At 47.5% G+C, this 27,281-nt stretch overlaps 1 protein-coding gene and 1 long non-coding RNA gene across 56 annotated transcripts in view, besides 3 other annotated features; both read right to left on the bottom strand.

Annotated features, from left to right (window-relative positions):
* The window catches only part of CACNA1C (calcium voltage-gated channel subunit alpha1 C), a 727,171-nt gene that overhangs the window by 402,568 nt on the left and 297,322 nt on the right, over positions 1-27,281 (bottom strand). The window lies entirely within an intron of this gene.
* Positions 6,638-25,607, bottom strand: CACNA1C-IT3 (CACNA1C intronic transcript 3). The gene is made up of 3 exons (NR_046769.1): positions 25,442-25,607; positions 7,179-7,364; positions 6,638-6,715 (listed from the first exon to the last, which is right to left on the bottom strand). It is a non-coding gene; the product is annotated as a CACNA1C intronic transcript 3 (long non-coding RNA).
* Positions 20,697-21,290: an enhancer, noted in NCBI's record as "H3K27ac-H3K4me1 hESC enhancer chr12:2383259-2383852 (GRCh37/hg19 assembly coordinates)". NCBI's record gives its function as "activates a minimal SCP1, AML or CMV promoter by ChIP-STARR-seq in primed H9 embryonic stem cells {active_cell/tissue: H9 hESC(primed)}" and the evidence as "EXISTENCE:reporter gene assay evidence [ECO:0000049][PMID:30033119]".
* Positions 21,291-21,886: an enhancer, noted in NCBI's record as "H3K27ac-H3K4me1 hESC enhancer chr12:2382663-2383258 (GRCh37/hg19 assembly coordinates)". NCBI's record gives its function as "activates a minimal SCP1, AML or CMV promoter by ChIP-STARR-seq in primed H9 embryonic stem cells {active_cell/tissue: H9 hESC(primed)}" and the evidence as "EXISTENCE:reporter gene assay evidence [ECO:0000049][PMID:30033119]".
* Positions 24,781-24,979: a silencer, noted in NCBI's record as "fragment chr12:2379570-2379768 (GRCh37/hg19 assembly coordinates)". NCBI's record gives its function as "represses an EF-1alpha promoter that drives an FKBP-Casp9 reporter gene in an ReSE screen in HepG2 liver carcinoma cells {active_cell/tissue: HepG2}" and the evidence as "EXISTENCE:reporter gene assay evidence [ECO:0000049][PMID:32094911]".

The raw sequence follows: 27,281 nt of genomic DNA, 5'->3' as shown, positions 1-27,281 counted from the left end.
GAAGGCTTCAAGAAGGAAGTTTGGTTTGAATGAAACCTTGAAAGACAAAAGAGGGAGGGGCATGTTAGTTGGGGTTGCCAGAGGTGAGAAGCGGCATGACATGAATAAGAAACAAGGAATTCATCTGCTTGACCATATGGGAGGACTCCTGAAGGATAACGAGGAGTGGATTCAGGGAAGCTGCTAAGGGCTTAAGGATGTTCACTGCCCAGGCTTCACAAGGGGACTGAAGGGCACGGGGTGGTTTAGGAAGAAGACTCTCAGAGGCACACATGAAGGGCTGGTGAGTGGGCGGCTGTAGGCAGGGAGCTGGCAGAAAGACTCCCACACTCAAGCCAGCCCCGGAAGACGTGGTGAAAGAGGGAAGACGAAGGAGGGCTAGGGTGGGGCACAGGCCAAATACACCCCTTCCCCGGGAGAGGCACAACACAGAACTGTGCGCACAGCATTGCTTCACTGACCACGGAGATTACACAACTGGAGCAGATGTGACTCACTGAGCACCATGTGCACACAGACGGAGACCACCCTGCCCCACCTACTGCCAACTCTCTTGCTTGATCTGTGGTGAAAGCTGCCTTGACTACTTGTCTGGGTCAGTGTGACCAACAACGCGCCCGCAGTCCCAGCGGCTGCCAGAGATGCTCAATATTGAGGCGACATGTTACATATTAACTAACAAAGCCATTTCACCCGCAGCTGTACTTGGGTTCCTCTGGCTTGGATGGCTCGGATGGCAAGCCTGAGGCCACGCTCCCTTGCTTGGTTTCTTGGCATGCTTCAGGCTCCATGATGTATCCCGACAGCACGCACAAGAGGAATCTTTCCCCCACCACATCAGGCCTACCGCGATGGTTCCTGGCCAGCCTCCCCCGCCCCTCACTCTCCACTGCCCCAGGTGACCCTTCCGAGTCTCCTCAGGGCCTTTCTGACTGCCTGCTCAGCTTCTGCCCAGGGTATTCAAGGCCTTCGTGCTTTGACTCCAATCTACGTTTCCAGCTCCACCTTCCTCAGCAGCCGCCTCTTCAGGGCTCCCCAAGCACAACCGTACCCGTGCCTCATGCTATGGGCCACGCTCTTCCTTCTGCCAGGACCCACCACCGCTGCCATGTCTTCTCGCTGACTCCTGCTCGTCTTTAAGATGAAGCTCAAATACATCCTCCCCGAAACTCTCCCCTTTAAGGCCAGGCAAAAAGCACTTCCTCTGTCCTAAATTATGAATATATACTCTTCATTAATATATTACCAATCGATATTTCATTTTAAATTATATGCCCATCTCCCAGGTGGATGGTAAACACCCCTCATGTCTGGTCAGGGTTGTGTCTCGTCTTCCTTTGAATAACTAGTGCCTGACAGTGGCTGGTGCATATTATTAGAAAGTTAATAAATGATTCAATTAATATATTAGCACAAAAGAAGACTTGCTATTAGAGTTATTACAAGAGTTCTCTGTCACCTTAAGAAAAAAATGATAAATTATAGTGTAAGCACTGGCAGACACTGGAAGCTGCTGTTATCTATTAGTCACTCATCAAACACTTATTGTCTACTATATTCAGGCACTATTTTAGGCCGTGGTAGGGATACAAATAAAAATGATAAGAGTATAATATGGTTTGGAAAATGAAGTACATACATATGAAAAAGAATAAGCCAAAGCAAGATACTCTAAAGGTCAAACTGTGGAAGGCTCTAGACCAGGGATGCCCAATCTTTTGGCTTCCCTGGGCCACATTGGAAGGAGAAGAATTGTCTTGGGCCATACATAAAATACACTAACACTAGTGATAGCTGGTGAGCTAAAAATAAATGCAAGAAAAATCTCATACTGTTTTATGAAAGTTTATGCATTTGTGTTGGGCCACATTCAAAGCCATCCTGGACCACGTGTGGCCAGTGGCCCATGGGATGGACAAGCCTGCTCTAGGTGTTAGAGGCATTCATGGAGTCACAGGGCTGAAAAATATTAATTATAGCAACACCAATTACGCACACTGGACATTTAGTTTATTCCACTCCCTGCATCTTGTCCCAGTCAGATGAGAATTGGCCATATGTATAAAAGCTTATTGTGAACAGGCAAAAAGGCATTTGACATCTATCAGGAAAAACTTGCTTGTGTCTATTCTAGCACACTTATGCTACAGGTTGAGCCCATTTCTTTTGCTTTTGGTCTTCAGAGGAGATTTAAAAGTGTTACCGTTTCCTTGCCAGAGGTTACCTTCTCACCTTCTGCTCCTTTCCCTCTCCTGCCCTCAAGCCTGAAGTGCACCCACTAAGGCCTCAGATTTTACAAGATTCCCCGTGAACAACCAAATAATACACACAAGTGTTTGTGCCTGGGCATATATCAAGGAAGGTATAAATGAGCTGCAGAGGGAAATGGAATTTCCTGGGTTGCCAAGGGGCTTTTAAAACTCATAAATACACCAGAAAAAAAAAAAAAGAAAGGACGCAATTACGGAAAGCTCTCTGGCATGCCCCTTTAACCAGGCATGCAGGCTCCCACCAGCACTCCAGTGTGGGCCTGGTGCCGCAGGGCATGGGAGAAAGGCAGGAAGAGACACTACAGCCACATCCCCACTTGGACCTTCACCCATAGGCTGCCCATTCAGGGAAGAGATTGGCTGAGAACTAGAAGCTCCCCAGGCCGCCTAAAGCTGGCAGCTTTCCTTAGACACACTCAGTCTCTGCCCTGCTCACCCTCTCCACCAACCTCTGCACATCCCTTCAGTCCCTCTAGCCTGCCTGCCAGTGCCGGTACAGTATTTAGTAAACGTCTGTTGATTGGATACATGAAGCTGTAGAGAGGTTTGATAACTTGACCAAGGACATACAGGTGGTAAGTCCTGGAGGTTTCAAACGTGGGCTGTCTGATTCCTGAAACAGTGCTCCTGACCTCTGTACTGCACAATGTGAAAGGGCTGAAAAATGGTACTCAACTGTGTCCTTCTCCAAATACCTCAGAATATCAACAAACGTGCTCTGTTTATACAAAATGGGACACAATAAACGTGCATGGAATTGAACCTTCACCTTGGAGGTCAGAAACTGTGTCTAACTGAACACATGCATGCTTCCTTCTCCAATATTCCACAAGAGGATGGACCTGTCCACTAGGACTCAGCACTTGCTTCACTCACTATTGTACACAGATTTAGCACAGGCTTCTCTTGTCTACTAAACTCTCAACCTCTTAAGGACCAAGGTCATGTTCTATGTTTCTTTGCCTCCCCGGGAGCCAGCACAAGGCCTGGCACTTAGTAGTGCTTCATGGCTGTCTGTCAATTGACTCCACGCTATTTCCAGTCCTAGTGATGTCCTCCTGCTGGTCTCACTGACAGCTCAGCTCAGAGCAGCCTGAGACCTGGGCAGGTCATTAAGCCCAACAGAACAGTGGGAAACTTAAACGACCCTTTCCTACCTTCTCAGTTGGAAAAATGCTTCCAAACAAAATCTCAGAATGAAATGTGGCATGGCTCCCTAATTAGGATCTCTCTCTTCTTCTAGCTGATGGAGGATTTCTGGAAAAGGTCTTCTTCCTGCATGTGAATCACTCTTCCCACGTAGTAAACAGAGGTGACGTTAATGGCAAAAGGACCGATTCCAGTGGGCTGGTTACATTCACCTTTCTTGCTTCGTGGGAGGGACAAACAGCCAATCAAAAGCAGCCTGGATGCTCTACCCAGAACAGGCACTTCCAAACGCTGCCATTTGCAAGTGGCCTCTAGCTCTGCTCCGTCACAGCCAAATCCTGCGCCCTCCACTGCAGGGTACTTCTGTGACGAGTTTCAATAAAACTATATTTACGCTAAACACAAGACCGAACAAAAGCTCCAGACTCTAACATCTTATTTACAAACATCTCAATTTGAAGTAATTAAAACAGTTGCAAAACTACTAGTTACCTTCCTTTCCTCCCTGCCTCTCCTGGTGTCCTGCTCACCAAAGAGCAGTCGAGAAAGAGAGTGTGTAGTTCTAAGAAACCACCAGTAGGTGGTGCAGGCAAATTCTGCGGCGGAGTAGGCCCTTGAGAAGCCAGGGGCCCTTGAGCAAATATCCGTCTGGGTTCCATTTTGATTGTTTTGGCTGGTGGTTTGGGATTTTAAGTCCCCGTCATTAAAAGACTGTTCCATTTCCAAATAACTTTTCTGGCTTAAAAGGAAGGACCTTTTATTGTTTTGTTGTAATAAGGGTTACCATTTAAGTACCTCCCAGGTGCCAGACACGCTAGTAGGTGCTTTACCTACTTTCAATCCAGGCAACAACCCTACGACATATTCACCATCACCTCATATTACAAAGGAGCTAGGACTCAGCAAGTTCTAGTGCCCTGCACACAGAGCTGGAATTGGTAGAACTGGGGATTTGAATCCAGTCTACATAGCTCCAACATCCATGCTGTAAACCCCCTGATATCACTTTGAAGCTGCTGATTCAGACAATACATTTGAGGAAGCCACAGAAGGGCTATTTTAGAGCAGTCCAGACAGCATCCCTAGGTCCCCAAGATCCTGAAATGACTGCCAAGGATACTGGGAATTCCATTCCTGGAACACGTCTCAGATCCCTGGGAGACCTACCTCCCCTCCAGAGGTTACCATTCCACGCTGGTAGGAGTCCTTGACTCCTTTTCTCATCTCTAAGACACAGAGTGGAGCAGCCCTGGAGGCAGCAGGAGGGATTCTGGGTAGAGCAGCCCCGAGTGTATGTCTCTAATAAAGCCAGGTACAAGCTCCTCGGCTCACTGTCCATGGACAGTACAATTAATCACGTTTCCACTGCCACCTTCCCACCCAGCCTCGTGGTCATCTTCCAGAGTCTGCCTGGTTAGGAAAGGAAGTCCTTTGTCACAGATCATTTCTTTCTCCCCAAGAGGGCATTTTTTCTGCCCCCAACCAGCACTAATCCCTCATTCTTATACATATCCTCCAACATATCTGCTCCAAGATTTCTGTTGTGGGACTGCCACCCTGCAGGGCTGCCCAGAGGGAGTCAACACCATTGTCTCTGAAAACACGCCCCTGCCCAGCTGAGCCCAGGGAGGCCCAGAGGACAGTGCCCCAGCACTGCCACTTTCCTGATGCCCTTTATCATACCCTGCCCCCAATCCCCAATTGCCTTGACATCTGTGAAGCAAGGCAGGCGCTGGCCAGGAGGCTCTCTCTGATGCTGGCTCTCCACCTGTCCATGCTTACCACCTGTGGACTCCAGCTCTGCCGGGCCAATTAAAACATTGAATCTTCAGAGCGAGGGCAGTTTGGCCATAAATGCCCAGGAACTTCCCCTGAATCGCTTCATTTTTCCAAAGGGGAGGTAAAGTCAAAGAAATACTAATCTGGGAGTCAGAAAAGCAGAATTCCACCCAAGCTTTATTACTAACTAGCTGTGCGATTTTGGACAGGTTCTTTAACTTCTCTCCTTCAGCATCTGCATGTGTAAAGCAGAAGAATTAGGCCAGGTGATCCTCCAAGTGCAAATATTCAGTGATTCTATGTGACTTGACGCGAATTTCCTCTTATCAGAAGGGTAACTTGAGCTAAGTGAATGTGAACATGTAAATGGCAAAATAGGGAAGCTGTTCTGACCACTTGGGATCCTAAAAAGTCACTTAAGAACTAGGTGTCCCCGGTGTGTACCCATCGGCAGCTTGGATCATTGCCCATATGGCACTGATACACTGATCACGTAACGCCTGGTTTAATCCATGTTCTCCAGTGGCACACAAGTCTCGGTGAGGGCGTCGTGCCTTTATCTCACCCACCGCTGTATCCCCAGTCCCTAGTACCACCAGCACAGTGTAGGCACTCAATAAATATTTGTGGCATGAATGAATTTCCACTGTACAAATCTGATTTCCTGACTATACCGGAGACCAGGCAGCAAGCACACATTTAATAGACTCTGCAGCTCTTCTCTATCTCTTCCCCGTAGATTTCCACAGGAAAATGGGCTTCTGATGGTTCTAAAAGTGAGTTTTGTCCAGCAGGGTTGCCTCTGGAGGTGGCTAGTTTCCCTCCTCCATCCACCCCCTCCCCAGGCAGTGAAGGAAATTCAGGATGACTATTGGGCATAGTGCCTCAAAAGCCACATCCACTCAAAGACACACAATTTGCTGCTGGGCCATGGGCTCTTTTTTCCCACCTGCTCCTTTTTGGCATGTGCCTCGACTCTCATACCCTCCCTCTGTACTGTCTGCACCCCCTGACACTGCAGGAGAGAAGACCCAGCATTTTTCAGGAAGCTTGGCTCCTGCTGGCTCTGCTAACCACCTGAGGGCATATCTTCCCCATATGGGATGCATTTGGTGCATAATTAGTCAAAGGCATCCGATTTCAATGAAGCCCTAGTTCTCCCAGCTTGGTCCACAGTGCACGAGAGAACCCTCTTAACCCGACCGGCAGCCTGACAGCTTGGCATTTCTGTATCTTTAAAGGCAGGCTGAGTTGGAGAACAGACTTTTAATTAAAATTTACCTTCCTATACATGTGTTGCCCCACCATTTACATTGTAATTTTCAGGTCACACATGCATATTAGTGCTACCTTTTGGGTGCTGGCAGTGGCAGCTCTACTGATGAAGGCTACACTGCAGGATCCATTGACTGGGGCTGCCAGAGCCACTGGGTAGCTGGCATCCCGCAGCAGGGTGATTAATCTGTATGTTCTTCCTCATAGCTGTTGTAGATACAAGCATGGGGCGGTGGGTGGTCCTGAGGGAAAACAGACAGAAGGGAGGCACAGACCCACCACGGACACACAATACAAAATGCAAGGGCACCTTCTCAGCCCCGCAGCCAAACTGGGTGGAAAGGGCCACTCCTCAAGACCCTGGAAAAACAGACCCCATCAAGGAACACAAACCCATTAATGGACAAGCTGACTCAGAGGGAAAATGGGGTTGCAAACACCTTTGATGGGGAGAGGCGGAAAAGCACTTCTGGGGTGCAATCAACCTATTTCAGGGCAACTGACCATGCTTTCTAGGTTGCCAAGGCCAGCTGGTTGATTGGTTCCTGAACTGTCCAGGAAGGCAGAATCTGCGCAAGAGCCTCAAACTCCAGAGCAAAGTAAACAGGCCATCATCATGTACTTAGCAAGAAATCCTCACTCCTCAGAGAGAAGCTGGCTGGAGAGGGAGGCCAGGGAGGGTAAATGACAGGCTCTCATACTTACTGCACATTCATGCTCAAGGAGGAGGGGCTGGGGTGTGGGCAGGAAGCTTCAGCTGTGCTTCTCCAAAGGACAAGGAAGAGGAAAACAACTGTATGTCCTTGGGCAGGGCTCGGTTCCCTTTGATGATTCAGTTGTCAGTGGAATTCTTGAGGGTCTTCAACTCTAACTCAGTGCCTAGCACACAGTCTGACCAATGAATAGTTATTGGATGATGCAAAAAAAAAAAAAAATCAATGATCAGAAATCGTTTTCAGCCAGAGCTATATGTTAAAATCACCTGGAGAATGTGAAAAAATTCAGATGCCCAGGCCACATCTTCAGAAATTCTGATTCCTGTTCATAATCGTGATTTCCAAAGTGTGGTCCCAGGCCAGCAGCAGCGAGTCACCTGGGAGCTTGTTAGAAATGCAAATTCTCAAGCTCCATCCTGGAGCCACTGAAACTCGGAAGCTGGAGCCCAGGAATCTGTGTTTACACAAATCCTCCAGGTGATTCTGGTGCCCACTCAAGTTTGAAAATGAAGGGCGTGGAGTAGACTGTAGGATCCTGGCATTGTTTTTTGTTAAATGATCCCAGATGATTCTTATGTGTGGCCAGGGATGAGAATTACTAACTTAAAGAATCACAGGAGCACTCCCGATGGCACATGGTCTGCTTTACCCAGAATCACAGAATTGGAGGGAGCTTCTCATCAGCCAAGACCACATCAAGACCACGCAGGCTGAAACTGCTCTTCGGGCCCTGATCTCCACTGACCCAACCTTCCTAAACAGCCACGGAACACACGAGCAGCCACGTTCATTCTCATTCCCTCATTTCTCTGGAACTGCACCATGTGCAGCACTGCCTCAAGGGACACTGATCGCGTATCCAGCGACACTCCATGAGGCACGGGTCGCAATCACAATCCAGACGAGCAGGAATGACTCAATACTTGCCCGATCCCTCCCCTTGGGAAGGTCATTCCCAGAAACCCTTCCTCTAGAATATTCCTTGGGAAAAATGGAGAGAAGGGGTTAAAAGTACCAGGAGACCATGAAGGAGGAAAAGCCATAATTTGAGAAACCCAGAAGGGGTCCTAACGGTAAAGAGCCCTCTGTCAACTGGGGGCAGGCCCCTGTGGGACCTCCCACCTCTGGGCCCGGGGTAATTGGGACAGTCAGCCAGACAAGGCACACAGCTTCCAAATTTCTTGCATGACCTCTCCACACACACCCTTCACTTTAGATTTTGCCTCCAGAAAACAAGAATAAAAATCTGCTTAAAATTCCTCTGGCGTTCCAATGTGCTTGGGGCACATGAGTAAGGGAGGGCCACTACCAATTTCAGTCCTGAGGCACATTCTTTTGGGACAGTGAAGAAATCCTTTCTCCTGTTATGAGCATTGCTCAGTAAGAAAAAACATAAAAGTTGTAAGCATGAGTTCCCAACGCACATTTCCCACTCTCCAGAGGAGGGCTGCTCATGACAGCCTGAGCCTGGGTCCTGTCATTGTTTCTTGTTTGTCTCCTTCCACTGGCCACAGTGCTCTCGGGGGAGGGACTGCGCCTCCTCCACTCTGCAGCCCCAGCCCTGTGTCCGGCACACCATCCACACTTGATCAACAAGAGCCCCCGAATGAACCTCACAGACCTGTTCTTCAGCCACCCAGAGAAGCCCCGAAGCCAGAACTACTGCAAAGCAGCTGGGTGCTGGGCCATCAGGCCCTGTTACCTGTGACATCTTCCCACAGGGTCCTTACTGTGCAGAGCCTGTAGACACTGGCCCTTCCTATCTGGCTTCCTGCCTAAGGCATATTTTCACCCGCTCGCTCCACTTTCAAGTATTATGTTCTAGGAATACTAGCCACTAAGACATCTTCTCAAATTCCTTATTAAATAGGCCAGAGCCTAGGATAATTAAGGTTCTTGCTTCCTACTCCCTTTTAATGCAAACAACCAAACCTGTTTCCCAGGCCTCAGCAAGCTTTGACATTAACTCTAAATGGAAGGTCAAGCAGGCCAGTCTTGTTTCAAAGCTCTTTGCAAAGAAAAAGGACAACTGAAAACAGAACCGGCCAGGTATAAATGACGAGTATTTAGCTCTTGGTAACTCTGTTCATTCTAATAACTCTGGCAGTCATCCATAATTCACACGAGGCAACATCCCTTTAAACAGCTGAGTGAAGAAAACAGGCGACAGGACTAGGAGACCTTCATTTTTAGTTAGAGTTCATCCCCTGGGAAATGTCCCTGGGCCTCAAACTCCCTGACTATAACATGAGGGCTCGCCTAAACGAAATGGCCTGAAAAGCTGTGCAGTTTGAAGAATCCCTATCTTCAGTGGAAAACGGCTGAACTTTACCATCCATGTGGTATTCCTTGCACATATAACGTAAATTCCTAATAAAACACTCCCTTCCACTGCCGCCCAAAAAGCCGCTGGGTAGGTGCGCACCAGCCTCTCTCGAATGAGCACGTTAGCAACAGGTTGAGAAAAAGAGTAGAAATACCGTCAGATAAGAACATGGGGTTTGGAGACCAGGGAACGGTGGAAGGGAGCCTAGGAACGTCGAAAGTAAGTCTCGTCCATCACTCTGCTTTGAGTGATTCCAGCTCTGCGGCACAGCAGAGTCCTCTCATTGAAAGTCAACCCGTCTGGGATGAGGAGGTGTTTAAGGAGAGTTTAAGAACAGAGCTCCTAAGTTCCAAAAGCTCCTGAGTTGTAGCCGGCACAGGCTATGGGCAAGGAAGGAAGGCTGCCATTTCCTCCACTACCTGGGCTCTCCCTGCAGCCCTACGTCACCTTCACAAGTGGTTCCAGCCAGTGGTATGTTGTTAAATGTTTTAGCAACTGGCTTTTAGGAGAGGGGGAAGGAAAGCTCTGGGTGTAGCATATGCCAGTTTTTGTGGTGTAAATGTTCCCACTACTGCCCATTTCAAGTTATCAATGTGATGACATTGAATGCCCAGTGTAAAGGGTTGAGTTCAGTCAGCAATCATGAGCCCTTCCCACCCGCTTGACCCAAGGAAGAGGAAATTCCTGCTAGGTAACACGCAGGGATGGAATGGAGAGAAACAGAGTGTTTCTACAGAGGGAGCAAGGTGTGAGTGACAGGCTGCCGTCAGCACTTAGCGGCCCGTCCCTCCTCCCAGAGAGCAGGAGAGATGCCAGGCACCACTGGAAGCCAACCCAGGATCTGCAGAACGGCCCTACCCCAGGCCCCGCTCACTGAAGGGCATCGCCCACCAGAGGGCAGGCTGGAGAAATGAAAGGAGACACATGGCCCTGGCCCATTCTGTGGCTACCAGGAAGGTAACAAGGAGGAGGCTTCAGGCTCTAAGGAAAATGAAGTTTGGGGATCACTGGTAGAAGTTAATTATCCTTGCTTCCCCTTGGAGCAGCGGGCATCCCTTCCCTGCAGACTCACACTGGAACAAGGCTGAAATGAGAGCCGCCTGCCTGCAGCTTAGGGGCAGAAGTGTCTCGTCCAACTGCCACTCAGTCAGGAAACTGAACAAAGCAGGACCCCATAGAGTGCACAGGCCGGAATTATGGTAAATTACAAAGCAATGATAATCATTTACATGTGTGCGTGTCTGCCAGTGTATGCCTCACTTTCACAGACCTTTTTTCTTTTTAATTCTGATCCTGGGAGGCAGACAGAACAGTGAGCTCTCTCCCTAAAGAGTTGACAGCATAGAAGCGGGCAGTATGCCCGCCTGGAGGGCTGTTCTGTGCTGCGCCTGGGTCCTGTTCTGCACCCTCCTCCCCCAGCCCCTCACTGTCTCTTCCTTTCAGTGGCTCTTCTCATTCATTCCATCTTGGCAGCAGCCGCTTGTGTAACTAAAACCGCAAGAAACTTTGTTTGGCTTCGAATTCAGAAGAAATTCCAGTAACTCACTTCCCACTACCAAAAAAAAAAAAAAAAATCTAGAGGTCTGTTCTAGAGAATTCAGCTTTTTCCGTGGGTAAAATATTCACAAAAAAATGCTCCCTCTCCCCAGCTTACCCCACTCCCCCGCTGAAGCCCCAACATCTGAAAGACATCGGCCCCTCACTCATGCAGCCCGGCAGAGCCTCAGCACTTCCTGAGGGCCAGGGACGAGCTAGGGGGATGGCGGGTTCCTGTTTCGTGGCTGGAGCCAAGCAAGTTAAGAGTTGTTGAAAGACGTGCTTGGCTGGTCTCTCTCCTCACCCGGGTATACTGCTGTTTTGTTTTCAGTGGACAAGGAAGCCAGGGATGAGATCTCTGAGCATCCAGCTCCCGGATCTTGGAAAAAGGCATAGCCAAGGCCCTCCTTACTCCTCCCCACCAGCCATATCTAATATCTGCTAACATCCTTGCAAGCAGCTTCATGCCTGCATGAATGAAGCACAAGTAGCTGCTGCTAACTCAGGAGGAAGGACTTTACTCTGCATGTCCTAGGCCCTTTCTATTGAAAGTGGGGCCCAGGATTCGGACCAGACGGCAGCATCCTCTGGGAGCTTGTTCCAAATGCATCATCTTGGATCCCCATCCTGGATCTCCCGAATCAGCACTGCATTTTCACAGGATTCCCTGGCACTGTCTTTAGACCATGTGCCAATAAACATTTCAGTGTAATAGACACGTATTGGGTACCTGCTGTGTACCGGGCACTGTGCTGGGTGCTAAGGTGATAAAATTCTGAAAGTGGAATCCCTAATCCAGTGAGTATACAGGACAGACTGGCTCGTGGCAATAATGCCCTGTCCCTGCAGGCTGAGTGTGGATATAGAGTAAGGGGTCCATGGTCTTCCCTCATGGAGGTGAAGGCTCTAATTTGTCCAGCCCAACCTTGTGACTTCAGATGCTTCCATACCCTGCATTTTCAGTAGAATTCTGTGACTGATATTGGTTTGCTACCCAAAGTCTCCCCTGAAAAAGGTAAGATACTTTGTCAGCCTCCCTTGCAGCCAGTTGTAGCTAGTTAATTGGATTGTGTCACTAAGAGTAAGGAGAAGTAGCCTTGCACCTTGCTACTCAAAATGCAGTTTCCAGCCACACTGACACACTCTGGCAGCTTGATCAAAATGTGGAATTTCAGGCTCTACCCAAGATCTACTACATCCAAACCTATATTTTAACAAGATTCCCAGGGGATCCTTGTGTAGATTAAATTCAAGAAGTACTATGCTAGGGACTTCTGGGAAAGCCTCTGTTTTATGTAAAAAAAAAAAAAAGGGCCAGAGTGTTATTGGCTCCACTCCTTCCTGGTTCCACCTGCCTTGAATGGGGGTGTGATGCCTGGAGCCCCATTGACAACCATCTTGCAACCATAAGGAAATCAGCTTGAATATGAAAAGCCAACAGACTTAGTATAAGGAAGTGGAAAGAGAGAAAGAGCCTTGGTTCTCAGTGGCATCTTGAGCTGCTGAACCAATTCAGAGTCCTTAAGTATCCTGTTACTTGAAGTCGAGAACATTCCTAACTTACATGTACTCTCTGTTCTTTAAATGAGCACAGGTCTTGAGGTGGCTGATCAAGCCTGAAGAAAGCTAAAGATTCTGCTGAGACCTGCCGCAGCCAGACTGCAGGTCTCCTTTTCTCTGGCAGGAGGCGGGTGCGCTGTACCTGACCACTCATTCAGCAGGCACAGCTGACTCTGATCCCATGAGCTGTGAGGGAAGGAGTGGTTTTGGTGACCTCCTCCTAAGGTCATTGTCTCAGACAAAGCTTTCCAGGCCTACAGGGGAGCCTGAGTTTTCTTCCGGGTGTTGACTTGGAACTCAGTTTCCATAAAGCTGCTGTTCCTGTCTCACTCCTGTGAGAGGCTCCCTAAGTCTTCCCTATTGAGAGGGAAATCCGGGCGTTCAGCCCTGTCTGCCAAGAGTGTGCTAGGGCTGTCTAGTGCCTTTGGGCTCACAGGACTCTCCTTACTTTGGGGATAGGAAAGAAGAAGAGGGAGGAAGCAGGAGAAATTGGATGTACCCTAATCCAGCCTCTAAAATGTCAAGTCCTGCGAAGTCCCCCAAATTCCAGGAATGTCACCCCCTGTGTTCCCTCCCTCCAGAATCTCCAATCGGTAGTTTGGCTTTGGGAACAGAAGCTCTGGATTGGTTCTGAAATAATAATCATTATAAAATTAGGTAAATCCCCCTAGGTTCTTCTAAAGGAAGGAAGATAAGGAATGAGGGAGGGAAGAAGGCAGGCAAATTATGTATGGCAAAAAAAGAGAAGATTCATAAACACATAGTATAGGAACTATCCAAAATGAAGGACATAGAAAAAAAAGAATTAAATAAAATGAAAGTGCCAGTGATCTGTTCGACAATGTCAAGCAGCCTAATACATGTGTAATTAGAGTTCTCACAGGAATGGGGGGAGAAGCAAAAAAAAAATTATAAATAATAGCCAGAAATTTATCAATTTTAATTTTAAAAATATAAACCCACAGGTTCCAGAAGCTCAAGGAATGCCAAGCACTAGAAACATGAAAAAAGAATTATACCAAGGCACATCATAATCAAATTCCTCAAAGCAGTGATCAAGAGAAAATGTTAGAAGTAGCCAGGGCATAAAGACACATTTAGGTACAGTGGAACAGACAAGAGGGACAGCAGGTTTCTTATTAGAAACAACACAAGCAAGAAGACAGTGGAATCATAGCTTTACAGTCATGGAAGGAAAAACTATCACCTGAGAATTCTATACTAAGTAAAAATATCCTTCGGAAATAAAAGTGAAAAATAAAGACTTCTCTTCAGACATAGAAAAGCTAAAAGATTTTAATCCTAGCAGACTTGCACTGCAAGACATGTTAAAGGAAGTCCTTTAGGCAGAAGGAAAATAATATGAGATAGAAGTGTGGATCTACATAAAGGAATCAAGGGTACCAGAAATGGTACTGACATGGTTAAGTATATATGATTTTCATTGAAAAGATCATTGACTGCCTAAACAAAAATAGTAACAATGTATTGTGAGGTTTAGAACAAATGCACAATTAGCATGTATGGCAGCAACGGCATAAAGGCCAGGAAGGGAGTGATCTAAGTGTGCTATTGTGAAGTTCCCGTACTATATGTGAAGGGGTTTAGTAACAACTGAAGACAAACTGCGATGATTAAGGCCTGTTGTGGGGTGGGGGCGGGGGGAGGGAGAGCATTTGGAGATATACCTCATGTTAAATGACGAGTTACTGGGTGCAGCACACCAACATGGCACATGTATACATATGTAACTAACCTGCACGTTGTGCACATGTACCCTAAAACTTAAAGTATAATAAAAAAAGGATGTATACTATGAGCCCTACAGCAACTGTTAAAATAACAAAACAATGGATTTTAGCTAATAAGTCAACAGAAGAGATGAAACTGAATCCTTAAAAATACTCAGTTAATCCAAAAGGAGGCAGAAAAAGAGGGAAAAGGGAACAAAGCTACATGGGACTAACAGAAAACAACAAGAGGTTAAACCGAAGCACAGCAAGGTATCAAGAGGTTAAACCGAAGCACAGCAAGGTATCAAGAGGTTAAACCGAAGCACAGCAAGGTATCAAGAGGTTAAACCGAAGCACAGCAAGGTATCAAGAGGTTAAACCGAAGCACAGCAAGGTATCAAGAGGTTAAACCGAAGCACAGCAAGGTATCAAGAGGTTAAACCGAAGCACAGCAAGGTATCAAGAGGTTAAACCGAAGCACAGCAAGGTCTCAAGAGGTTAAACCGAAGCACAGCAAAGTATCAAGAGGTTAAACCGAAGCACAGCAAGGTATCAAGAGGTTAAACCGAAGCACAGCAAGGTATCAAGAGGTTAAACCGAAGCACAGCAAGGTATCAAGAGGTCAAACCGAAGCACAGCAAGGTATCAAGAGGTCAAACCGAAGCACAGCAAGGTATCAAGAGGTCAAACCGAAGCACAGCAAGGTATCAAGAGGTCAAACCGAAGCACAGCAAGGTATCAAGAGGTTAAACCGAAGCACAGCAAGGTATCAAGAGGTTAAACCGAAGCACAGCAAGGTCTCAAGAGGTTAAACCGAAGCACAGCAAGGTCTCAAGAGGTTAAACCGAAGCACAGCAAAGTATCAAGAGGTTAAACCGAAGCACAGCAAAGTATCAAGAGGTTAAACCGAAGCACAGCAAGGCATCAACAGCAAATTGGTTGAATATGCCAATTAAGTCAGGCTGAATAAAAGAGCAAGACCCATCTATCTGCTGCTTATGAGAAATCCACTGTAAATATAAAGACACAAATAGGTTAAGAGTAAAGGAACAGAAAAAGATATGCAGCTGTCCCTCAGTAACTGTAGGGGATTGATTCTAGGACACACCTCCTCCTGCCCCACAGATACCCAAATCCTCAGATGCTCATGTCCCTTATATAAAATGGTATGATATTTGCATATAACCTATCCACATCCCTCCATATGCTTTAAATCATCTCTAGATTACTTATAAAAACCAATACAATATAAATGCTATGTAAATAGTTGATACTGTATTTTTCATTTGCATTATTTTTGTTATATTTTTTATTTTTATTTTCCAATATTTTCAATTTGCATGTGCAGAACCTGAGAATACAAAGGACCAACTATACGATACTAACACAGTCAAAAGGACACTGGACTGTCTATATTAATATCAGGCAAAATAAATTTCAGCGCAAAGGCTATCACTAGGGATTAGAAAGGGCTTTTCAAAACAGCAAAGAGGTCAAGTCTTCAAGGGTGCATAACAATCCTAAATGTTCATGCACCTATTAACAGAGCTTTCAAATAAATACATGAAGCAAACACTTTTCTTTGTAGAAATAGGCAAACTGATTTTAAAATTCATATGGAAATGCAGAAGGTCTAGAATAACCAAACAACTATGAAAAATCACAAAGATGAAGGGGTAACTAGCACTATCTGATTTTAAGCCTTATTATTATAAAGCTATAGTAATCAAAGCAGTGTGGTATTGGTGTAAAAATAGACAAATGGATCAATGGAACTGAACAGATGGTCTAGAAATAGACCAACACATATATGGAAAATGACTTCCAACAAAGATGAGAGAGAAAAGATGACACAGACTGAGATAAAATATTTGCAAAGCACATATCTGATTTTAAAAAAAACTTATAGCCAGCCAGAATATATAAAGAAACCTCATAATGCAATAATATGAAAATGACCCAAATATAATGTATGCAAAATATATGAACAGATACTTCACCAAAAAATATACGAGTGGCCAATAACCACAGGAAAGATGTTCAATATTGTTAGTCTTCAGGAAAATGCAAATTTAAAACACAATGAGATACCACTGCATACACATTATAATGACTAAAATTAAAATTAAAAATACTGACCACACCAGGTGTTGGTGAGGATGTAGAAGAACCAAAACTCTCATACACTGCTGATGGCAGCACAAAATGGCACAACCACTTTGGAAAAGAGTTTGGCAACTTCTTAAAACACTAAACGTACACTACCACATGATGTAACCATTCCACTCCCAGGTATCTACCCAAGAGAAAAGGAAAGCATACATCCGTACGAAGCCTTATACACAAATGTTCATAGCTGCTTTATTTAAATAGCTCAAAACTGGAAACAGCTCAACATGGATGGATAAACTGTGCTATATCCATACAATGGAACACAACTAAGCAATAAAAAGGAATAAGCTATCAGTACATCCAGAGACATGTGTAAACCTCAAAATAATTATGCTGAATGAAGGAAGGCAGTCAAGAGAGTCCATGCTGTATGACTTCATTGATATAAAACAATAGAAAATATAAACTAATCTATGATGACAGAAAAGAGATAGCAGGGGTGGGGAGGAGGGCTGAGCTACTGGGATTACAAAGGGGCAAAAGGAAACTTTTGGGAGTGATGGATATGCTCACCCTCTTGATTGCACTGATGGTCAATGTTGAAACTTTCCAAAGTATACAGTTGAAATATGTGCAGTTTGTTATATGCCAATTATACCTCAGATAAGCTGTTTTTAAAAATTCATAGAACAATAGACTGAGTGGGTGAATCTTATGTATGAAAATTGTACCTAGTCCATTAAAACATCTTTAAAAATAAATGGCAGATATGAAAGCTGGGAGAAAACATCTGGATATTTGGTGACTCCACCCATTGGTTTATTCCTATGGAATTTAAAATCAGATGGCTTCTGTCCCCAGTGCAGATCATGAGGACTGAGATTGGCCCTCACTGCAGGCTTGAGGCCTGTCAGCACCCAGCATGGGTGGCCTGGCCAGCCTCAGTCTGTGCTAAGAGTGGTGTGCCATGCAACCCATCTCAGCACGATGAGTGAGACTGGAGGCAGTTTCTCCATCTAATGCCGCATGCTCAGGACCCTCTGCTCTGCTTGCTCTGTGCGAGTGTAACAGAATCAGGTCCAGTAATGAAGTATTAACATGCAATAAAGCAGCATCAGAGAAAACAAGTCAATTTTTGGTGAGCGGTTATGGTGGGAGGGAGATGGGGAGGACAGGAGCCATCTCCTGTGAGGTAGAGAAGGCAGGAGAGAGAAGGCTTCCTCAGCTCCTTCGGATGTTGCCTGGCTGAGACTCAGAGGTGAAGGACTCAAGCCGCACTGAACTGGGACCTTCAAGAGGAATGGTGTTGGGGGCCTCCTCCTGGAGATCTTTGCAGCAGCCCTTCAGGGTGGGGTGGACCCCACTGTTGCTGCCTGAAGCCTCCTTAGATTTCTGAGCAGGGCTGAGGGTTCTGAAGGGGTTTTTTTGTTAGAGAGCAACAGTTGGGAAACAGCTATGGAGAATCAAGAAGAGAAGTCCTCTTCCCTATCAGCCCTCAGTGTGTGTGTGTGTGTGTGTGTGTGTGTGTGTGTGTGTGTGTGTGTGTGTGTGTGTGTGTGTGTGTCTGTCTGTCTGTCTGTCTGTCTGTCTGTCTACTAGAAGGAGAGAGAGATGAATTAAACCAGACATTTCCAGGACATGAGTTGCTAGAAACAACTATAAGAAGTAATTGTTAATGACAGTGTTTCCAAGTAATGGCTCACGGGGCCCCTGACCCTGTGTTTCCACACCTTTAAAAGAAGGATAATAATAACAATAACAATAGCTACCTCAAGGGGTATTAAGAGAAGCACCTAACATATGAGAGTGTTATATTAACTGTGAAGTGCTATGCAAATGTCAGCTATTAATATTAGTTGAGGACATAGTTCCTGATAGGAAAGCTCAATGCCATCATCTTTTTTGTGACTTTGCAACCCCTGTGATGAGCAGTCTAGGCCGTGGCAGAGGCGCTGGGATTTTCATGCTCCAGGTAGTTTTATGGAGTAGCTAGAGTTTATGTCTGAGACCTTCTCTGGTCTCTCTGGTCTCCCTGGTCCCTGCCCCAGTGATTCAGGCCCCAGCTTCCAGGCTGCCCTGATTCTCACCCTACCCCGCTACCCCACCCTCCGTCATCCCAATGCACTCCAGCTGAACTTGCCCTTCCTATGTTTCAAGCATTTCCATAGTGCTCCAAATATTTCCTTAATCAAAAACTATCCTGTTGGGAACCCTATTCTTTTATCAACCTAGTCTCTGATCTCAATTACTCTGCTAAACACACCCATGCTAATTAAGGTGTAGAAGCTGTTAACGTCTGCACCTATTCATCTGCCCTGGTAATAGAGGCCATAAACATTTCTCACTATACTCCATGGAGCTCTAAAGGTTCTAGCAAGAAGCATAAGGGACCTCGCTGGAGAATCAGGAGAAGCTGAACAGGTCAGCTCTGAATCATCCATTCTTTCCCATGCACTTGAACAAAAGCATCTCTGCTCTTTTCTGTTCTGTGTTGGGTCATGTGGGAAGAAAGAGTTCTTTGGTAATAAGATGTTTGGTAATCCCTGACTTACTTCAAAGGTAATGCTAAAGGTAGAAATTCTAGGGAGGAAATGGCAGATCCCTCAAATTCCAGCACATGGACAGCTGTCTGCTCCAATCCTGAAACCAGCTCAGCCCACTTTTGGACAGACTGCAACAGAGATTCGGGTTCATATCCCAGACCTGGAGCCAACCAACAGTAGTTCTTAAGCATATCCTTGCCTATGTGTTAGGTCTCAGTTTTCTGCTCTGAATAATGAAATACAGTTGGCCCTCTGTACCCGCGGATCCAACCAGCTTTGGGTAAAAAATATTAGGAAAAAAAAATCATTAAAAAATTATACAAATTAAAAAATAAAATATACCATATGTAAAATACATAAAATGGTGTAGTATGTGCATATAATCTACATACATAAAAGGACATGGGCATCCTTGGGTTTTGTATCTGAGAGGGGTCCAGGAATCAGTCTCCCCACAGACACCAAGGGATGACTGTAACTGGGCTTGATGACTTTCCGTCTGGCTCAAAACCCATGTTTTTTGAGGGCTCGCTGCAGACAAGCTTCACCAAAGAACAGAGGGGGCCTGCTGCTGAACATCCACCCGTGGAAGCACTGAGCCCTCCCCACTCTACAGTGCTGGCTGTCTTCTCCCACCTATGCTTCCGTGCCCTAACGATGGTTTCCTGCTCAACCTGGCCCGACCACAAGCGAAAAGGTCAAATCCAATCTGAGACTGGCCGTCTTCTCACAGAGAGAGGGGAAAGATCCAGTGGTGCTGTGGGCTTAGAGTGGTCAGGCCACCTCTCTTCCATGACACAGGCTCCACAAGCAGGTGCAGATGGAGGTGGCAGGTCAAGGGTGGGGCTGCGTGGGGGTTGCGAGCTGGGGGACAGTGGACGGAGGCTGCATGTGGGATGGAACAGGGGGCCAGGAGAGAGCTAGGTCACATGCACAGAGCGATGCGGTACAGCTGGCGGGCTCACCAGACAATCTGTGCGGGCACGAGCCTTCCGGGAAGACACAGCCAGCAGGACTGTCCCCTGTTGGGTGATGGTGAGGAGTCGGGGTCCACAGACAGGCAGAGACACATAGTCATGCCTCTCCCTCGCCCTTGCCACACAGAGCCTGACATGTATTGGGCAAAGGAAAGAAAGATCACGTTTGCCGGGCTAACATTGCTGATGATGACTGCTAGCTAGCAGGACAATGATTACACACCAAACACACTGCCACAACTAATTTTCAAGCAGATCAAAATAAATCAGAAAACAAAACCATTCTGACAGCAGAGAAATGTGGAAACCTGTTAGGAGGTAATTACGGTCCTTTCCGCCTTGTTTCACCTGCATCTCTCCCACCACTGGTGCAGGCATGGAATCCCAATCATCACTCTGTCAAGAGGCCTGTGTGCCTGAAGGTTTGTGCAGGGCAGGCCAGGCTGGGAGTGCTGCCACCATGCCTGGCTGCCAGGGACCAACATCTCCTGACAGGGACATTCGTCCATCCCTGACACTTGAAGACACTGTCTCATCCCAGCCGGGGCCCCACACCAGCCAGCCTGGAACTCCACCATCTCATGTTCCTTCAGACAAACCCCATCAGTCCCCGCTCTAGACTGCACCCTCAGACCATACCGTGGAAAGAGCCCAGCTTCGGAATCAGACAGCCCTAGGTGTAAATCCCAGCTTCACTAATTACGGCCTCCTAGTTAGATGGCCTTGGGCAAACTACGTGAGTTCCAGGGGCCTCAGTTTCCTCATGTGAAAACAGGATACAGGAATGCCTAGCTTATGCAGGGACCGTGTGAATTAGAAACCGTGCACGTCGGGAAGCCACTCCCTGGTTTGCTTTCTGAGGGGCTGCTGTGCTCACCGTCACTGTTCTCTCTCACAAGTCTCACCAGAGCAGTCACCAGCGGCTGAAAACTTTCACTGCAACCCAGTGGCTGCCTGGGAGCCTTCCTGGTTGATGAAGTGTCTCAGGACGTCTCTCCATGGGGCAAAAGGAAACCTTCCCTTTTCCAGATCATGCTTCCCCTATTACCTGAAGGAAGCCCTCCTAGCTCAGAAACATCAGCAGGTACTTGGAGCTGAACGAAGGAAGCAGGCAGTGAGTGAAATGAACACACGCAGTGAGAACGACTCGGGAGTGCTCATATCCTCTGAGAGGACGCCTGGGCCCCACAGCACTTTCTGAGGGAACTGCTGGACGTCCAGCTTAGAAATGGGGCCCACAGGACGAGGACTTGCTGCCATAAACGAGGAGGCCGTGAAGATAAGGGCACGAGGCTCTAGATCATTATCAAGCACCCAAGTGGGACCTTATGCCACTCCTTCGACCCAGGGCCACCTTTTAACACTGAGGCCAGGATAGCTCCTGCCGCGTGCTGGACAGGACGCAGGTGAACAAGCCCTGCCTGCTGGAGGCTGCCAAGCACAGCCCACACCCCTTGCATGGACAGTCGGTCAACAGCCACCCATCAGGTGCTCATCAGGTCAGGGGCACAGCCTGCACACACGTGCTGTCCAGGCATTTGCACTGAGGGAAACAGACAGCCTCCTTGACCCCCTCCCGTTCTCTGCCCCCTAACCAAGCCCGGGGTCAGGGAGAGGGGGTTGACCGTCTCCCTTCCCTGTAGGAACTTTCCCTATGTTGCCCTTTCAGATTTGCAAGCGTCTTCTCTTAGCCCATAGGAAATCGTGCAAAGTTCCTTGAACACCCCTCCGTCTATCTGAGCTTTGTTTGCCAAGTTACCCCAAGAAGTCTAGATTCTTCTTCTGGTTTCACTCTGATTTGATTCCCAGAAAAGGTCACATGCCTCTCCCCATCTCCAAAACCAGCAGCATGTCTCCATGGTTCTGGCCGTCCTGCTGGTCCTAACCCAGCAGCCTGGAGGAGCTCCCAGCCCACAGAAAGAGCCGGCTCTGGGAGTCCAGTTTCTTCTCTGCCAGCCCTGTACTTCCCCTAATGATCCGTGCCTGGGCCCTGGGCTCTCCACTTTGAGCTGTTGATACAGTTGGCCCTTTGCATTCTTGGTGATTCAACCAGCCACAGATAGAAAATATTTGAAAAGAAAATTTTTAATAAAAATAATATGACAATAAAAATCATACCAGTAAATGAAAACAGTACATCATAAGAACTATTTATATAGCACTTACACCGTATTAGGTAGTATAAGTAACCTGGAGATGATTTAAGGTACACAAGAGGATGTGCATAGGTTATATGAAAACACTATGCATTTTATGCAAGGGACTTGAGTACCTAAGGATTTTGGTATCCAAGGGGTTGGGGAGTCCTGGAACCAATCACCTGTGGATACCAAGGGACAACTGTATTTAGATTGGAAAAGATAAAAAAGTCACCTGGGCAAATAACCTTTAAACACTAGACTACAGTCAAGAAGCAAAGATATCACTGGGACCTTCTAACGCGGACAAAATTAAACTGTAATATGTAATATGAGCAGTTTCTTTTTAAGGGCCAACATCAGAGTCTTGTTTGCCTATAAACTGATTTCTTCTAGCTGTGGAGCTATTTTATTCTGATCCTGGGCCTACGAACATGTGTCCAATAGAACGGATAAATGTAACGTAGCACTAGTCATAGAAAGTGTCCCTGTTTCAGCGAAGGATCAAGTCCCAGGCAGTGGCCACAGCCCTTTTGCTGTCATCTCACGGCACAATGCAGAGGAAGCTCCACATTATAATACTGATGGGGTGAGAAGAACAACAAAGCAAATCAACTGCCTTGGAGTGACTGCTCTACACAGCCAACCGTCAAACTCCCATGATGCTGGCCCTAGGAATAACTTCCAGGAAGTTCAGCCTTTCTTGTGTTCTTAAGAAATTATAGCAAATTTACAGGCAAATCCACAGGTTTTCAGTTTTGGAATATCTGCTGTCTGGCTTCCGGCTCAAGGCATCAGTAGAGAAAGCAATAGGCTGCTTGGGAGGAGGTGACTGATGATACGAGGCAGACACCAGCCGGGGAAGCAGGAGGAGGCAGGAGGCAGAGGATGGTGATCCACAGGCATGGACAAGCCTTCAGGGCAGAACTGGAGCTGGAATCGAAGAATGGATAGGCTTTGGAGGGAAAGGTGAGGAAGGAGAGCTTTTCAGGCAGGGTAAGGCAGAGGTGAAAACAAGTAGGAGAATGGGGCCCATAAACAGATTTTCCTGGTGAAGCAGAGGGTTTGTGGCCAGGAATGGGCACAGCCAGACAGCAGATTGTAGACAGGATTGATTTGGCCTGCATCTCCAGACAAGCAACTCACTGAGGGGTTGTGAGCAAGGCAATAGCTCGATGGAAGAGATGCTTGGGGAACACTGGGGGATACTAGTCCCGTTGGTGGCCTTGCGGATGCTCCATCTCTCCAGAGTCCTAGGAGGATGCTCTGCCCAGAAGAGTATGCTTCTTGAAATAAATAAGAGCAAACATTTGCATGGCACATGGCATGCATTAAGCACTGTTTTCTGCACTTGACACACTTAAACATTTTTTTTTAGACAGTCTCACTCTCTCACCCAGGCTGGAGTACAGTGGTGTGATCACAGCTCACTGCAGCCTCAAACTCCTGGGCCCAGGCAATCCTCCTGCCTTAGCCTCCCAAGTAGCTGGGACTACAGGCATGCACCACCATGCTCTGCTAATTTTTTTTTTTGTAGAGATGGGGTTCACTATGTTTCCCAGGCTGGTGTCAAACTCCTGGGCTCAAGCAATTCTCCTGCCTCGGCCTCCCTAAATGCTGGCATTACAAGAGTGAGCCACCATGCCTGGCCTTGACACAATTTAAACTGTTTAATCTTCATACTAATTCCCTACCATAGACACTATTTTCATCCCCATTTTATAGATTAGGGTATCGAGGAACTAAAATGTTAAACAACTTATACCCAGCTAGTAAGTGGCAACACCAGGACTTGAACTCAGGCAGTCTGAGCTGGAATGGAAAGAGCGAACAGCCTTTGGAGGTACTCAGAATACCTAACTCCTTAAGCTACACTGCCTCATGGGGGAGATTCTCTCTGAGTACTTTTCCCAAGGCTCAGGGTAGCCTCCACTTCTCAAAAGGGAAAATACCCGCTCTGGGGCTGCACCTTGGACTTAAACCTACAGAAATGTTTTCCATTTAGAATGAAACTGGGAAGTAGAAACACAGGAGTCGAAGAACAACTGAATTTCACCCAAATTGGCCCTGGAAGCCATGAACTGGATCCCACACCCCACCCCTCACAGGCCCTTCCAACCCGGCCTGAGTAGTGGCAGGTGGCTACCCAATACTGGCTGGAGGTGACAGAGCCTATCGGGCCCAGGACCCTGTGGGACTCAGAAGAGGAAGAGACAGCTGGATGCGAAAGAAAAGTGTCTGCCATTACCCCAAACAGATCCACGTTGTCCTAGAGAGCAAGCAACAGGCCACCAGCCCTCGGCAAAGGGAGTGTCTAGACACCCTTCATCTCCCCTTTCATGCTTACTTCACCCACACCCCCCACCACCATCCAGCCCCTCCAGCCTGGCCAGAGAGGGGAATGGCTGTCTGTGCCAGCACTTGCTAATGATTTCATGTGCTCTCCCCGCAGGTGGAGTAAGACTTCACCCAAAAGAAGAATTGGAATAGTGGCAATACAGACATTGTGGCATCAGGATGGAGGTGACATTTGAGGACCACGAGCCCTACTTAAGACATCCCATGGCCAAGCTTAAACCAGAAAGGGAGTCCAATGACCTTCCACTCCTGCTTCCTCCATCCTGGCCTCCTGAGTTCCTGTCTGGCTGGGTGGCATGGCCGTGGGCTCTCTATACCGTAGAGGGTTCCATCACCACGTCTGGAGTGCTGTGGCCCCCACTCAAAGAGACTACTCGTGTTCTCTCACTGGAGAACTCAGGCCACTCAGCAAGACGGTTGCCTTGACCAATTCAAAAGCCTCAAAACATTGACATGAGGGGTCACTGAGTACGGCATTCTGGAAAGTGTAAGGCACTCCAGGTGTGGAGGGTTGAAGTGATTCAAGACAACTGCTCATAAAAGAATCAGGCCCTGCCCTCAAAAAGCTGACATTTCACAGAGAAGGAGGGTGTATGGGAGACATTTCAGAATTTCATTACAGCTGGCTCAAGGTAGTTTGCAAGGTAAACACACTAGTCTTGACGATGGAATACTTTAAGAGTCAGTAATAGCTTTCGAAGCTCGCCTTCTCAGGACGAGCCTTCTAGAGTTGGCTAAACAAGACAAATATTACAAATGAGCTCCAGCTCCCTGCTGGCTCCCCTAGACCCCTTCCACCCTCTGTTCCCTGACCCCGTGCCCTGGAAGCTTGGTGCATGGGGACTGCTTGAGGTGCCCGGCTCCCTGGCCCTCCAGCTTCAGGTTGGTTTGGCCAATGAGCAGTGTCAATAAGAGAGTGGAGATGGGAGGACAGAGAAGGCAGGGTGTTTTCTTTCCATGTCCCCCTACCTTGGTGTCTTGGTCCTGGCAGTGACAACATCCTTCCATGACTATGGTTTCTCCCTCATGGTCCTCCTCCCAGCTACAGCTCCCACCAGGCCCCCCAAACAGTATTTTCTCCCCTTCCTCCTCAGGCCCTAGGGTGATGACAGCTTCCCTCTAAGTTTAGCCCTGGGTGCCTCAATATCCCTTGCTGGTCTCCTTACCCCTCCATAAATATGCCCCTCAAGAAACTCTGTTCCGTTGAACCATCTGTGTAGAATTCTGTTTCCTATTATGATGCCAACTGAACACTCGGTACCCATTCTTTGTCCGTAGTCAAGGACAGCTTATACAGAAAACACAAAGCTTCCATGGTTAGAAGCTGGTTCCTGGCTTCCATGAGTGGCTGTACCCAAACCTGTCCTAAGTAGATAATCACCATTCTCGTTTTTCAAATTCTCCACAAAGACTGTACGACTGTACATCTATGTTATCTAGAGGGCTGTGTATGATTTTGAATCCAGAACCCAGGGGCTCAGAATTCCTCCACCCTAAACCTTCCTTCATCAGGAACTTCACTGTCACTCCCATCAGTAGAGAAGAGACAGTCTCAAAGTTCATTGAGCCCATCCCCTTAAGCACATACACAGATAGCAGAATTTAGGCAGGTTTAACCTAGGTGATTTCTTTCAGCCGGTCTATAAATCAAGAACTAATTCCCATGACTCCCTCCTGGCTCTAGAATGAGCATTCCCTCCCGGACTCCTTGGAATGTCTTTTGCATATTGAAGTCATTTTCCTCATTGCTCACCCTTCCCTGAGTAGACGCGGAGGCATTTTGTAACTGTCAGTGTTTTGACAAAGCATGAGTATTTAATCATGTGCCCGCTACTCCCTGTAACCCACACGGCACACAGGCTTGCTGGTACCTGCTGCCAGGGCAGGACAGTGGGCAGAGAGCCGGCAAGCACCCAAGACATCCGACCCTGGGCAGGGGGTGGGGACAAAGCCAAGGAGGTAAGACTCTCCCTTTCACAAGATGCTCAGAGTCTGCCCAAGGCCGAGTCTGTCTTCCATTCCACTTCAGGAAGGGAATGCTCAGCCCGGAATGAACAGCACCAAGATTAACTGGGACAGAAAGGACCATCTCGTTCTATCCCTTGCCTCTTCCGGAACTAAATCATCTTTGGCAGATGGTGTTTCTAGCCACAGTCTCCCGGGGAACCTCCCCCAGCGCCTAGCAACCTTCAGCATTGGGGAGCCCTTCCCGTGGTTTGGTCTAAATGCCCACGATGCTCCCAGGCTCAGGGGTCCACACTCCTCTGTCCATTAGGGTCCCTCAGAGGAACCCTCCCCCCAGGACACCACAGGTCCAACTGTTCCCTCGCTGGGAGCCCTTGGCCATCCCACCATGGGGCGAATGTGACCTCCCACTCCAGCCAACACTCCCCACACCCCCAGCCTGCCCAGGAGCATTTGCTTTTCAAAACTTCCCTTTCTTAAAAAAGACACAATTTTCCAAAGCCCAGGGAGTTAATCCATGAAATCTTCTGGAACAAGAGCAGCTGGCCCAGGCCTTGGATAAGTCGATCAACAAACATGCCAGAGCCCCGTGTGGTTCAAAACATTCTTTGTTCCAGCCACCGAGCCTGGATCTCGCTGGATCCTGCCGGTGAGTTGGCTTCTCAAAGTCACACCCCTCTGGCTGTCGACCCCACCCCTGCCATACCCTTGAAAGCTAAACCCTCTTCAGAGGGACCACATCATCACTTTCCCCTCAGTCTTTCCCTCTTTCAGAAACCACCTGAAGTGAAAATGTTTGGAGCCAGTCAAGGTTTGCTGACAATGGAAACAAACCAGTCCCTGG

This window comes from Homo sapiens, chromosome 12 (assembly GCF_000001405.40).
Source record: "Homo sapiens chromosome 12, GRCh38.p14 Primary Assembly".
Classification (NCBI taxonomy): Eukaryota; Metazoa; Chordata; class Mammalia; order Primates; family Hominidae; genus Homo; species Homo sapiens.
Note: the sequence above shows the minus strand (reverse complement) of the source record. Positions and strands in the feature narration are given on the sequence as shown.